Consider the following 16,160-nt stretch of genomic DNA (forward strand, 5'->3'; position numbering starts at 1 on the left):
GCATGCACTGCCACACCCAACTAATGTTTTAATTTTTTGTAGAGACAGTGTCTCACTCTGTTGCCCAGGCTGGTCTTGAACTTCTGGTCTCAAGCAGTCCTCCCACCTCAGACTCCCAAAGTGCTCGGATTACAGGCATGAGCCACTCCACCTGGCCAGAATTTTCAGTTTCTAAATTTTTAAACTTTTTAAATTTAATTTTAGATTTTTAGGAAAGTTGCAGAAATAGTACAGAGAGTACATATATACTACTCACCCAACTTCCTCCTAATTTAACACTTTACATAATCTTAGTACAATTAATTATCAAAACTATAAAACTAACATTAGTATAATACTATTAACTAGCCCAGGTGCATTAGCTCATGCTTATAATCCCGACACTTTGGGTGGCCGAGGCAGGCAGGTCACTTGAGATCAGGAGTTCAAGACCAGCCTGGCCAACATGGTGAAAGCCCATCACTACTAAAAACACAAAAATTAGCCAGGTGTGGTGGCATGCACCTGTAATCCCAGCTACTAAGGAGGCTGAGGCAGGAGAATTGCTTGAACCCGGGAGGTGGAGGTTGCAGTGAGCCAGGATCACACCACTGCACTCTAACCTAGGTGACAGAGTAAGACCTTGCCTCCAAAAAAAAAAAAAAACAAAAAAAAAAAACAAACTAAAACTATAGACCTTAGTTAGTTTTTGCCAGTTTTTCACTCATGTTCTTTCTCTGTTCCAGGATCCCACATTGTACTTAGTCTCCTCCCATCATAACAGTTACCTTTCCTATGTTTCATGATTTTGATGCTTTTAATGAATACTGGTCAGTTATTGTGTACACTTTCCCTCAGTTGGGGTTTGCTTGATATTTTCTTATATTTGGAATGAGACCATGCATGTTTGGCACAAATAACACAAGAGAGATGTTGTGTCCTTCTCAGTGGATGTCTTATTACTGGTGATGCTAACTTTGGCCACTTGCTTAAGGTTATATCTGCCAAGTTTCTCCACTGTAAAGATGCTTTCATTCTATTTTCAGTTGATAAACTTCTTGGGAGTGATATTTTAAGACTATGCAAATCCTGTTTCTCCTCAATTTTGCTGTCTAATTTTATCATCCGTGAATGAATTTGCCTATAACAGTTATTACTATGGTGTTTGCCTAAGGGTGATTTTCTGTTTCCCTCTTTTCTTCTGTGTTTATTAATTGGAATTCTACCTAGAGGAAAAGTTGTTCCTTCTCCCACATTTTTTTATTTTTCAAGTATTTTTAAAATATTGGTATGGTCTCTTACATTATTCTGTGAGATAAATTCCAATACTATCATTTAGTTTGTTGCTCAAATTGTTCCACCTTTGGCCAATAGAAGCTGGAATGGCTTCAGAATGGCTCCTGGCATCTTTCTCAAGCGCCTATATATTTTTTTAGTACTTCCTTACTTTCTGGCACCACAAGATGTTACAGACTCATCTTGGTTTTTCTTACCCCCATTCTGGAATCGACCACTTCTCCAAAGAGCCGTGGCTCCTTTTGTTGGAGAATGGTGATTAGAAACGAAAGGCTGTGTGCTGGATGTGCTCCTTGCTACTGCAGTGCCATTGCTTCTAGGTCCTTTCTGCTGACAAAGCTAGGAAATACATGTATGCATACTAAGCTACCCATCTACACACATCTGTGTTTCTGAATGTATCAATCTGTAGTTATATTTGTAAAACCATGAGTTTGAATTGATGTTTCTGATTTCAGTCCTGTATCACAGGTTCCCTAACTTTTCTCCTTTCTGTATTTGTAACTTCTTTCTCCGTTAATGAGAAACCCAGCTCTTATTTGTTCAGGTCTGGCATATACATTAACTAGTTTTAGAATTGCTAACTCATATCCCTGTAAGAATCACTTTTCCTATCTGCATGGCATAGTTTGTTTACAGTTCTTCTTGTCTTTAGCCTTAAAGTATACTTTCTTCACCACCCCAGTGATTGTGGCTGTGTTAGCCATTTGAAATGCAGTTAGGTTCATTTTTTAGTGTTTATTTCCCTTTTTTGGGTTTTCTTCACGTTCTGTTTATTTTTTGGAGTGTGTGAAATATTACTATGGTTCTAGGAGTCAGAGCTTTAAAAGAGATTTTCTTAGAGAACTGTCTCTTCCTCTTCATTCCTGCTCCCTTTTCCTATTCCCAGTCCCCCTTTTTTTCAGTCCCTTTCCTATCCACCCCTTGTAGCTAAATAATCTTTTTAGTTCCTGGTGTATCTTTCGGGTATTTCTTGAGCAGATACGTAAGTATCTTCTTACATCCCCGTATTTCCTATGTGAAGGGTAGCATAATGTAAATCATCTTTTTTTCTTTTTTGGTCTAAGTTCCACTTGAAAATCTTTGGTGAAGTGTAATTACAACATATGAACACATGTATAGAGTAAAATGTCACCGTTTTTAATATACAAATACTAACCACAACCAACTTTTATCACAAAATTATTGCTAATCTGTGATTATCCACAAAGTAGTTGGTTATCTAAATGTTTCTTCATTAACATTTTAGTATGAAATTTAACTTTAAATGAACTTTGGGAATACTATTTATAAATATGTCAGCAACTTTTTTTGTTATGCTATTTTTGAAATTTGAATTGATCAGTTTAGGATTTTAGCTTCTTTTCATCCCCCATCTTTATTGAGGTATGATTGATTTAAAGATTTGTATATATTTTGGTGTATAACTTGATATAAATTAAGTCATATTGATTTGCTTTTTTTTTGGCTTTGCTTCTTTTTCACATAGAACTCTGCCCTAGAAATCACTCTACATCAGTTCTTGGAGCTCACTGTCATTGATTTTCATAGTTGCATAGTACTCCGTTGTACGAATTTATCATAGTTAATTCAACCATTCTTCTATGTAAGGATATTTAGGTTGTTTCAGTATTTTGTAAGTACTAACAATGCTATAGTGAATAGACTTACAGACGTGTATTTTTGTATTACTGGAGGTATATTCAAGTTTTTTTCTTGATGTCTTTATGTATTCCTAAAGTTTTCTCTTTAATTGTGAGAAAACTGGATGCTGATTACTTTTTAAAACATTAATATGCTGGAAAAAGCCTTTTATTAACCAACTCAATCTTTATACTGCTACCAGTCCTCTACTCATTATTCGGCGCTATTTGCCTCAAATAAAAACACATCATCTTAGCATGCATTCCTTAGAAGCAGGCCCTGAGATAAAGATTTACATAAAGGTGAATTATTAGGGTATGTTCCCAGAGAAAATCAGTAGGGGAGTAGAGATGTGTCATGAAGCCATCAAGTGTGCAGTATCAAGCCAAGTCCCAGGGAGGGTCGCTTTGGCTTAATCCTGCAGGGTAACCCTGGAGACTGTGGTCAGAGTTGTCCTGGTCAGGGCCATGGCAACTAGAGTATTTATACTCCCTTATTTGTTGGTCATTGGTGATGGTTGGAGGTAGGGTTGGGAAAGACACTTCAGGCACTGTCAGCTCTCCAGCATTTTAGAGGTAGGTGCTCCTGCTGTGAGTGAAAGCACATTGCCCAGTAATGCTAAAAGGATTTGAGGCAATCGAGGGGAAGCACTGTGTCCTCTGCTGTTTGTACTGTAGCAGAACAGACTATGTAATGTCAATGTGGTTGTTCACAATTTATATTAATAAACAATACAGATGGAACATCTCTGAACAGTGAATTGGATAATATGATAACAACTAAGAGGTCATATCAAGGCTGGCCAGCGAAATAGCATGCTTTAGCCTTCATTTGAATAGTATTTATATGTGTATAAACTAATCCATGTCAACACATCATTGGCAGTCAGATAAACTTATAGATTATGGCTGTGTTGACACTTCTGTTTTTAATGGAGTATTTTCCATTATTATTAGGGATTTTTTTTATACTTCAGAAACCTTGTTTAGAAACATACTAAAGATTTGTCAAGAAAACAGTCATAGTTTAAATTTTGTTAAACATGGTGCATGTTATTTTAATGGCTAACTGCTCCAAATATTTGTGTCTATGTTTACACACAAATCACTGAGATGTCTTCAAAAATACTGATATAAATACTCTTTGCTGATTATTCATTGATATTAGCAACGTATAATATAGCAGTATTAGCAGTGTATAATTAGAAGGTGTCAGAGACCTAACTTATCACTGGAGAAAATGAAACATCCAGAAGATAACTTTTAAAACCTGCTGGATAACAAGTCATTTCTAGATTCCAGACCAGGAGCCTGGCCTTAGAATTTCCAGGTTATTGTTCTGACATCTAATAACGAGTTATTTTGATAAAGGAGTAACTTCAATTTAGTATGTGGTTTTCATGTCTGAGATTTAAAGTAGTACATACACACAGTAAAAACAAGCAAAAGAAATCCAGTGGTACTAAAGGTAGACAATGGAGATTTGAAAGCCTCTCTTTCACTTAACCCCCAGTTCCTTCATTCTACTGCTTAGAGATACCAACTGCCTCAATTTATTATATGTCCTCTGAGAGAGAGAGAGATATGTGTAGATACATGCATTGTTTAAAAATGCAGGTATATAGCATGTTTTACAAGCTGATTTGTGGTTTTGTTTTTTACTTAGTATACATTGGAAGATTGGGCCAGATCCATCCAGACATATTTAGCTCATTATTTTTACTTTATGTACCTATTCAATTGTATAGCTATATTGTACTTCTATAAAAAACTATACCCTCTTGAATGACAGTTATGTTGTTTTCAGCCTTTTTCTTTCATAAACAATACTGGAATTAGTATCTTTGGATGTAGGTATTTGCCCACACATGCAAAACTTCAAGAAATTTTTATCTTTGCCAATCTGATAGGTGAAAATGTATAATTTGTGGTTTTCACCTGCATTTTTATAATTTTTTAGCATCTGTTCTCGAGAAAAGATGCTAAAAGGAGCTTTCTTAAAGCCCTTAAAACCCTGTTTCTTGTGAACTATTTATGTCTTTTGCCCATTTGCCTATTTGGTTTTTTCTTACTGATTTGTAAGAGTTATTTATATTAAGGAGGTTAACCCCTTGTATATCATGTATGGCAAATATTTCTCCCAGTTAATCGTTTTTTATTTTACTTTGTTTATGGCGTTTTTCTCACGTAAAAAATTTATTTTAATGTGGTGAGATTTAGAAATGGGGTGAGGGGTGCACTTTTGGGGTTTTATTTAGGAAGGCATCTCCCGTCCAATATTAGTCTTGAAATTCCCTCATATTCCCACTCAATACTTTTATGGATTTTTTTTTAGAGTTAAGTCTTCAATTCACCTGGAATTATTTTAGTGAAATTGTTATATTAATTACTACAAATTTGATGTCTTAAAAAGTAGAAATTGATTCTGTCACAGTTCTGGAGGCCAGAAGTCTGAAATCAAGGTGTTGGCAGGATTGTACTTTCTACAGAGACTCCAGGGGAAAATTCATTCTATGCCTCTTCTAGCTTCTAGAGGTTGCCTGATGCCTTGGTTCATAGCCACATCCCTTTAATGTTGCCTAGTCTTCACATTGCCTTCTCCTTTGTCTTCTCCTTTACTCTCTTGTAAGGATACTTACAGTAGCATTTAGAGCCAATCCAAGATAATCCAGGAGTATCTCCTCATCTCAAGATACCCTTTTTCCAAATGAGAGAACATTCACAGGTTCCAAGGATCGAAAGTGGATATTTTTGAGAGAACCATTTTTCAACCTACCATAGTAGAGTTCTAATTTACTTATTTCAAGTTGGTTTAACCAGTTGCTGTAGAACTTTTTATTGTATAATTTAATTTTCCTCATTAAATTGAAATGATACCTTTATTATACCTAATGTACTCATGAATTTTAATCAATTTCTGGGTTCTCTGTTCTGTTCTGTCAATTGGTCTGGCTCTGCAAGTATCAATACCAGTCTTCATTGTTGTAGCGCTGCCTGTTCTCATTATTCTTATGAGAATGTGTCTATCTATTCTTGCAGGTCTCCATGACTTATTAAGTTATCTAGTAACCTCCCCCTCAAAAATTAATGATGCAGACTTGAGTTATATGTATATATTAATTTAGATAGAATTTATAATATTAGTTCTTTCAAACCGAGAACAGAGTTGTCTTTCTAGTCAACATCACTATATCCCTCAGTAGTACTTTTAAGTTTTCTTCACATAGACCTGTCATATTTCCTTTTAAGTTTATTTTTACTTACTTTATCTTTTTGTGCTGTTGTAAGTAGAGTCTTTTCTTACACTAAATTTATAACTTATTTGTGTATGGAAATACTGTGCAGCTACATATATGTGTGTTATTTATATATATTAGTTTTGTATCCAGCTGTTTATTGTGTTTTCTTATATATATTTTAAATAATTTTTATTCACTTAGCTTGGGGTGTATAGGTATAAAATTATATGCAAGTAGTAAGTGTACCTCCTCCTTTCCAATTTTTATACCTACTATTTCTTTTTATCTGATTGCACTGACTGCTGCCAGAACAATTTAAAATAACCATCAGTGATAGTGCACATCCTTTTTTCAATTTGAACTTTAAAAGGAATGATTCTATTACGTTAAACCTTACAAAATTTTCCTTTTTGTAGGTGAAAAAATCAAATATCAGCAGTTTTATATTATTCAATCTAATGGTATTTCCACATAAAATGTGATAATGTTTGAAAACACACAAGATGTTAAGAATCCAATTCTTTATTTATTCATGCAAAAGAGATTTACTGAACACCAACTATGTGTTAGATACTGTTCTAAGTTGTAGGGGTACAGCCATTTTATGGAGCTTATATGCTAGTAGAGACAGACACTAAATAAATATATAAATATTAAATGGTAATAATGCTAAGAAGAAAACTAAAAGAGGGATATATCCCTTTTATAAAAAGATAAAAGGGGGACATAGATAAAAGAGGGATAAAAGGGGGACATAGAGTAATCAGGCGGAGAAAAGGCGCTATTTTAGATACAGTGGTCAGGGAAGAACGTCTACAAAAGTTACCTTTGACCTGAGTGAAATGAGGGAGTGAGCCATGCAAATACCTAGGGGAAGAGCATCCCATGCAGCGAACACAAGAGGCCTTTACTGAATTCCTTCATCTCTATGAAAGTGATCATGGAATTTTTCTACTTCGATCTATGAATGGGATGAATTATATTACTAGATTTCCTAACACCGAGCCATCCTGGCATCTTTGATACGACCGTTATATGATTGTAGTTTATTCTTTCTAAGGTGTTAGACTGGCTTCCTAAAAATTTTGTGTATTTTTCTTTTCTATATGTACCCTCAAACTGTTTTGAATACATTTGAACTTATCCATTTTATAAAGATTTGATAGAATTCACCTGTAAAATGTGAAAGCTTTTGTGGAGTGGAGGGTGAGTAGTAATTCCTTAATTTTTCTCTCTTTTCCATCCCCTCCTGGCAAATAGTCTATTCTGAGTTTTCTGACTCTTCTGAGGCTGCTTGGTAATTAATATTTTCTTGGACAGTCATTCATTCAGATTTTCAACTTTCTTTAAATAAGAATTAATTGCAGCTGAAAGTGTTTTTGTTCACTTTCAAAATATCTAAAGATATTTTTCTGCATTAGAGATGATTCAGTTATGTTTACAAATGAATTCGTGCTAGCATAATAGCAGCTCTTGCAAGGTAGGTAGATCAGGCATTGTCATATCCTCACTTTACATGTGAGGAGGCTGTAGCTTAGAGATCTGCAATTAACAATGACTGAAACTAGAACTAGACATTAGTTCTCTTGATCCCTAACCTAATGAGCTTTGCAGAGGACTGCACTCTCTTCCTGATACACACCTTTCTGCCGCTGCATTTTGCTATCATCTCTTTGCTTCCACCCAATTTCGTCACCTTGCATTTGTTGCATACTAAGTTCATGGCACTGTCTGTCTGTGGCATGTAATTTGTTAGCTAGGATTGCAGTGCTATTTCTCCTGTGTTCACCTGCTAGAGTATACTGTTTACTGCCAAGTAGCAAAGTATTTGAAAGGAAGCTAATATTTAAAAGGATCTTTTCGTAAAGGTCACTGTAATTGAGAATGTGTGTCTGGTTGGTTTTTTTTCTTCACTGCAATTGACTTCTGTCAGTGATGAAATGAAGATTTATTTACCATATCTCGCTTTATCACAGAAAAGCACAATTAGACATTCCACAAATGTGCCTGCCTACACATGACATACACTCACCAATATCCACTGGTGATGATAACAAAGAGTCTTTAAAGAGTTTACATTTATAGATTATTTAAGTTTCATTCCTGGCCCTAGCAATGTAACAGCCATGAAAATTTTCAAACACAGCAGGATCACAGAGGACTCTTGTTCAGCTACACATAGGCAGATTCAGTTTCAGTTTCTTGTAAGAAGATGCTGCTGGAGGGAGAGAAAAGGAGCTGGCTGGGGAATGGGCAGGATGTAGATCCAGAAAGCTATTAGCTTACACATCAGACAAGGATAGATGTGTGTGGGAGCCTGGACCCTGGCCAGCAGCCTGACAGAATGACAGCTCTGTCAACCACGTCACTTTTCTTGCCAGATAGGCTGCCATTATTTGCTGGTTCGGTCAACTTAATTTTCAGTGTGCATATCTTGTCTGATATTGGATATATGAATATGTGTGTATGTATGTGTTAAAATATCATTCCCACCTATAAAGGATCCATTTAAAGTCATGTTGAGTTGTAGGCAATATTTAAAGAAGCCACTCTGTGAGCAAGTGAAGGTTTATGTGTTATTTGTGTCAGGAAGAATCATAAATGCACAGAGAGAAAATATATTTTTTCCAGAGTTATATTTAGGTGACTAATTGTCACTCTCCACTGTATTCCTGTGTAGAAGCCAATGTTTCTGAAAGTGGTTTTGTGAACTGCCTGCATCAGAGCGGTGTATGTAGTTTTTTTTTTTTTTCTTTTTTTTTTGCGGTGGGGGGGTTGTTTAAAAATGCAGATTTCTGGACTCCATCCTAAACCAACTCAAGGGGGCTTTGTGGGATTAGGGGTGGGAATCTGAATATTAAGAGGTGCCCTGGGTGATTGTTTTGCACACTTATGTTTGGTAATAGTAAAAAGTAATTATGGAAAACAACAAATTATTCTGTAATAGTACAAAAGTAATTATGAAAACAAGCAACAAATTATTCTTTAATAGTACAAAAGTAATTATGAAAACAAGCAACAAATTATTCTCCCTTAAGAAAATTCAAATTTACTGACTAGATTATTTCAATTATAGAAATTCATAGTGAAGAAATATTATTTGCTTAATAAAATTATTTCCTTTAAAAAGTAGCAAGCTGCTATATTGTGTTTAACATAAAAATTAATTTACCAAATATATTCTACATACTGCTTTTGGGAAATACATCTATTATATGAAGTGAGGAACACCTGATATCCAAAGCAAGGTATATAATAATAATGATACTTTTATTTTACTTATACTATGCCAGGCTTGTTTTAAAACTTTATATATATTATTAATTTAATCCTCACAGCAGCCCTGTGAGGCAAGTGTTATTATTGTCCCCATTTTACCGATAAGGAGATTGAGGCTTATAATTTGACCAAAGCCACAGAGGTAGCAGGTGGCAAAACTGGGATTTGAATGCAAGCATTCTGGCTTCAGAATCAAGCCTATAACTGTAACTAAGTACAGTGTACTGCTTTTCATCATAAAGCAACTGGTAGTAGTTATTAGAAAACTTGAGTAATAGTAAAGCTAAAAGATCATTGTATGAGCCAGCATGGTGTAACAGAGGGAACACTGGACTAAGAATCAGAAGTCCTGAGATTTAGCTTCAGCTCCGCCACCCCCTGGCGAGTTACCTTCACTGAGGCTGTTTTCCTGATCCATGAAGTTGGGCAGGGCTACACCAATGCCAAGCTTTCGTGCATGTTTTTTAATAGAAATTGTGGCACACAGTTATATATCTTATAAATGGGAACTTATTAAGAGAGTGCTTTGGTGATACCTGGGCTGTCTCAAGCCTGTGTGTTCTTCAAAGATTTTGTCTTTGTAACTTGTTTATCCATTTGGTGATAAGGTAGCTAATGGCAATTTTGTAGAATTCTGTTTCTCTTTTCCTGTCTCTTTCTTTGTTTCCTATTTTCACAGTTTCCGTAGGTCTCATGTATGTTCTTTTTTCCATCTTCACAGTCTTTGAACTCTCACACATAGCATAATGAGTCAGTATACCCTATTTATGAGCCTGAGATGTGTTTATTTTCTAAAATATTATATGTTCATTTCCTGAAGAAAATAGAAAATGCTTTATCTAGAAACATCTTGTTGCCTAGTGTGCCTAATATTTAAAAAAAAAAAAAACAAACAAAAAAACAACAACTTCGATTAGCTCTTCACCAAAAAAAGGAATCATTTCAAGTGGAATTTTTTGGTCAAGGCTTTTATTTAATCTTAATAATTCTGCAATTGTGATGACTGTGTCAGAGTTCATCTGGGCCATATTCATTCTAACAGGGTTAACAAGTGTGTCAGATTGAAAGTCATGGCTATAATTGACTTTGGCTTTGAGGTTTTCCTTCATAATAAACAATGGGCCCTGAGCCAAAAAAGCTTGTGGTTTATACTCATGTGCTGATGACTAAGTAATGCAAGTGATTTCGCCTCATACTTGCTCTGTTACCCTGGAGCTCACTTTATGCTTTTTGAAGGAATCATATCAGAGGAACATCCATAATTAAAAAGAATTTGACCTGTGGACTTTCCACTGCAGCTGAAAACATTTTGTTACAGTGAAGACGACTTCACTCTGGCCTGAGTGCTAGAGAAGGGCCGTGTAGAAGACATAGGTCAAAGCTTAATCAGAAGAGAAAGGACAGTCCTGTAATACTTTGAATCTCTCACACAAACAATGCACCCCAAAAATGCCCTTTTAGAAGATTGCAGAGGGACTCTTTATTCATTACTGGCTGCTCTACACAAAATTCCTCTGGATGGAAGCACTGAAGGTGGGACTTGCTTTCTGTTGAGTTTCTGTTATTTTTCTGTAGCATACAGTTGCTGGAAAAGACTCACTTTGTAAAAATAATCTTGAGAATCAGTTTTCCAAAAAGTATCAAGGGGAAATTTAATCAGCACAAAGTATCAGCTATCCAGAATTTATAGATTTGAGAAAGACATTTGCTTAAGCTTTTCTGTTTGCTTTATGAAATCATATTAACTATTAGCAAATGCAGAGTTACCGAAGCTAAAGCAAAATAAAACAAAAAACCTTTTAGCCTTCCCTTGTTTGCTTATTTAATGATTGGCAGCAATGACCACGTTGATGTCTAATCTGCTCTCCTTTTCTTGGTAACTCTAGTAAACAAGTTGACATTTATAATCAAGTGGAAAATGTTTACTCTTCCCCAGATGAGTTACTCAAACTGGAAAATGCAAGGTTCACATCAGCCCTCTGTAAGTTTAGGTTTTTAAATTAGTCGTCAGAAACATGGGTAAGTGTGGGCCATAAACCAGTATATGGAATAGTCTGGTTAAAGCTGACTTCGTTAAGGTAGATACTTCACTCATTCTCCAGTGAGGCTTGCTAGATCCCCATTAACCTGTTGTACACCCACAGTAATTATATATTTGGCTGAATGGAATGTTCCCCTTACCTACTTTTCCTTCGAGTCAATCCCTTTATAGGCTTTTGCTTTTGTTTTGGGCAAGGGAGATAATCTGCCATGAGGCAGTAAGCTTGAGTTGATAATTTCTTGTCTCTTGAGAAATGAGGTATAAAATTCTGAAAGAATTGTTAGCTAGAAGACACAGAATGGGTAGGTGACAGAATTGCTTTCTGGAAGTGGTGGAGTATATTTCTTGCAATTTGTTTGTGTATTTCTTATGTTGCTGTCATGTTTTTAGTGTCTATTTGATTTGTTGGGTTCTACTCTTCCTTGTGGAAGCACCCAACAGAATATTTCTTTTTCATATATATATATACTTTAAGTTCTGGGATACATGTGCAGAACATACAGGTTTGTTACATAGGTATACACGTGCCATGGTGGTTTGCTGTACCCATCAACCTGTCATCTACAATAGGTATTTCTCCTAATGCTATCCCTCCCCCAGCCCCCCATACCCCGACTGGCCCTGGTGTGTGATGTTCCCCTCCCTGTGTCCATGTGTTCTCATTCCAACAGAATATTTCTTAACATCAGTGTACAAATTCCATTTCTTCAAGCAGCCCAGAAAGGAAACCATTTTTGTGGCCAGTGACGATGTAAAATAGAGGGTTTGTTGGTTGTTATTGTTTTTATTTGTTTCCTGTTAGCTTTAAAAGTGGGAATTTGTGGACCAGCTTTTAAGTGTTTTCAAATCCATTAACATTTTATCTCTTTGTATCTGTCGTTTTACTTTTGCTTGATGTTGTTGATTTATTTTTATAGTAGTTTTCTGTGCCAAGGGCAAATTAGACCATCCCCCAGGGAAGAAATCTCCTGGTTCTAGTCCTAACATTGCTAGAGGTTGCCTAATCATCTGTTCCTCATTGTTTTGATAAAGTGGTGACTAAAGAAATCCATTTAAAATGTCCTAGATAGCTCTGAATTGAGTTTTTAAAATATTTCTCATATGTGGATTTCTAAACGTTTTCAAAAGAATAACTGCTGGAAATAAATTCAAAGATAAAAATTGCCAAAAAGAAAGAATAGCTACAATGTTTAAAGCTATGATTCTCTCACTATGCTCCTACAAAACACTGGTGTTCCTTAGGCTTGGTAGAGATGTTCAGTGTGCTAAAGTTGAATACTCTTTTTTTGAAGAACCTAGTCTTTATTCAGCAAACAACACACAGCTCTTATTAAAGGTTCTGAATTATGCTGTAAGAATGTTGGTTTTGAGGGCAGGATGGATTGGAATGAGAGAAAATTCCTTCTGTGGGCCATACTTTGCTTCACTTCCCCATGCCTAACTCCCCAAAATCAAAGACCACTCCTTTAAGGATGGGCCTGAGAGTGTAACCCCAAATTTTATTCTTTCACCCACTCTTCAGTAGCATCATACAGGGCCAATTTTTCCAGATATGAGAAATATTTTCCCATAGTTGGAGGAAGCTCATCATGTGTAAAAGTTTGTTAAAAATACAAATTCTTACTCCACAGACTTGTTTCAAAGCCCTGTTTTTCTCCCTTCTTTGCCAAGCTAGGGGAGGGATGGAGCTCTCAAGAGGTACTGCTCACTCTGGTCCACCAGCCAGTGCTGATGAGGTAAATGTAGAATTCAGAGTAACACTTTGGACATTTTATAGCAATTTGATGTATCTGTTGAATCTAATAAAAACCTAGATTTGTATTTTGTAGTCTTTAAATTTTATGTTTCTAGAAATAAAATATTTGTCTGCAGAGTCCTGGAAATTAGAAAACAAAGACTGGCCCTCCATCACAGATGGTTTGAGAAGCAGTACCCTAGGCACTGCTCTAGGTTGGAGGCTAAGGCCCTCTCCAAGGCACCTCCTTTTTGTCCCAGGAAGGGGATTTGTTCTTCCTTACTCCCAAGCCCAAGAGCCTAGTTCTTTTTTTTTTTTTTTTTTTTAATTTAAAAAGGTCTAATTTTGGTAGAATAAACATGAGATAAAACTTACTATCTTAACCATTTATAAGTATATAGTTCATTAGTGTTAAGTACATTCACATTGTTGTGCAAACTCTCCAGAACTCTTCATCTTGCCAAGCTAAAACTCTATGAAACCAGCTGTCTCCAACCTTTTTGGCACCAGGGACTAGTTTCGTGGAAGACAATTTTTCCATGGAATGGGAGTGGTGGGATATGGTTTTGGGATGAAACTGTTCCACCTCAGATCATCAGGCATTAGATTCTTATAAGGAGCTCACAACCTAGATCCGTCACATGTGCAGTTCACAATAGGGTTTGTGCTTCTTTGAGAATCTAATACTGTCACTGATCTTACAGGAGGTGGAGCTCAGGTGGTAATGCTCACTCGCCCACTGCTCATCTCATGCTGGGCAGCTCAGTTCCTAACAGGCCATGGACCAATAGCAGTCTGGGGGTTGGGGACCGCCTGCATTAAACAACTCTCCATTTCACCCTCCACCCAGTTTCTTGTAAGCACCATTCTACTTTTTAACTCTATGGATTTGACTACTGTAGGTACCTCATATAAGCGGAATCAAACAGTTTTTGTCTTTCTGTGACTGGCCAATTTCACTTAGCATACTGTCTTCAGGGTTCATCTGTATTACAGCATGTTATCAGAATTTCCTTCCTTTTTCAGGATGAATAATATTCCATTTATGTATATACCATATCTTGCTTAGCTATCAATGTATAGTTGAGTTGCTTCTACTCTTTGGCTCTTGTGAATAATGCTGCCATGAGCAAATATCTCTTTTATGTTTTCAGTTTTGGAGGGTATATACCCAGAAATGGAATTGCTGGATCACATGGCAGTTCTATTTTTAATTTTTTGAGGAACCACTACACTGTTTTCCATAGTGTCTGTGCCATTTTACATTACTATCTATAGCATGCAAGGGTTCCAGTTTCTCTGCATCCTGGCCAATACTTGTTATTATCTGTTGTTTTTTTTTTTTTTTTCAACAGTAGCCATTCTTGTGGTGAGGTGGTATCTCATTGTGGTTTAGGTCTGTACTTCCCTAATTATTAATGGCATTGAGCATCTTTTCATGCACTTTCTGGCTATTTGTATATCTTTGGAGAAGTGCCTATTCAAGTTCTTTGCCCATTTAAAAAATTTTTTTATTGTTGTTGTTGTAGGAGTTCTTTATATATTCTGGATATTAATCCTTTGTCAGGTATATGATTTGCAAATATTTTCTCCCATTCTGCCTTTTCACTCTGTCAGTTGTGTCCTTTGAAGCACAGAAGTTTTTAATTTTGATGTAGTCCAGTTTACCTACTTTATTCTTCTGTTGTCTGTGCTTTTGGAATCATATCCAAGAAATCATTGCCAAATCTAATGTCTGTGTTTTCTTCTATGAGTTATATAGTTTTATCTCTTATGGTTAGGTCTTTGATCCATTTTGAGGTAATTTTTGTGTATGGTATAAGTTGAGGTTCTAACTTTGTTGTATGTGGATATACACTTTTGCCAACACCAGGTGTTGATGGGAGCTGAGTTCTTATTCTCAATTATTCCCCTACCTGACCAACAGAATGAAAAAACAGGTGGTAAACAAGCATTGGGAAAATTGCCAGGAAAATCTAGAGTTTATTGCCTTGGTTTTTCCAATTTGGGGAAAGGGGACCATTACAACTTTCAAGTTAGATGTGATGCCTTGAAATATCACATGAAATATTACGGGCAGGGCCAAGATGGCCAATTCAAAGCAGCGGTGTTCAGAGGCTCCCATTGGAAAAAAACATAATAAGCATGTGAATCCTTCACCAGCAGCCAAGGCATCCAGGTTCTCTCATCAAAATTGACTAGAAGGCTGGTGTGTCCCACAGAAGGAAGGGCATGTGGCGCAGCAACCCACTTGAGAGCCACACGGGGAAGGGGAACCCCCCTCCCCCAAGCTAAGGGAGGCGGTGAGTGAACACGCTATCCAGCTGGGGAAACTGCTTTTCCCATGGAACTGTGCAACCCACGGATCAGAAGATCCCACTTGCAGACCCAGGCCAGTGGGGCCTAGCATCCTAACCCCGGAATGTGCAGATGTGCAGATTCTTACAGCCTCTCAGCTGGAATCTGCTTAAGCCTACCGAATTCCCAGGGGAAGGGGTGACCAGCACTGGCTATGGCTGCCTGCTATTTGGCTCCTTGTGGGAGGGGCAGCAGCTAGCACTGGGACTAGCAACTGCCTAACACGCTAAGCTCTCTGGGTAGGGGAAGGGCAGCACCCATTTCTATAACTCCAGGCTGCATTTTTCCCCTGCTGGAGCCAGGAAGGCTAGACGGCTTGGTCCCAAGACTTGTCCCCACAGCCCAACACACCGGCTGTGGCAGTCTGTGGCCAGAGTGCCTCTTCAGGTCTAACCCTGACCTATTCTTCCTCAGTGGTCATGGCTTCCCTGCATGATCTCCAATAACTCCAGCCAGAGGCTCAGGGACAGAATTGGGATCTCCCTGGGCCTGAGCCCCTAGCAGGAGGGGTGGCCTTAGTCTTTGCAGACCAACAGACTTTGCCTTTTCTCCTGGTAGTTCTGAGGAATCCGGGCAGCCCAGACGAGTGG

At 37.1% G+C, this 16,160-nt stretch overlaps 1 protein-coding gene across 5 annotated transcripts in view; it reads left to right on the top strand.

Moving 5' to 3' along the window:
* Positions 1-16,160, top strand: part of WDR70 (WD repeat domain 70) — a 374,118-nt gene that overhangs the window by 348,401 nt on the left and 9,557 nt on the right. The window lies entirely within an intron of this gene.

Source organism: Homo sapiens, chromosome 5 (genome assembly GCF_000001405.40).
Source record: "Homo sapiens chromosome 5, GRCh38.p14 Primary Assembly".
Taxonomy (NCBI): Eukaryota; Metazoa; Chordata; class Mammalia; order Primates; family Hominidae; genus Homo; species Homo sapiens.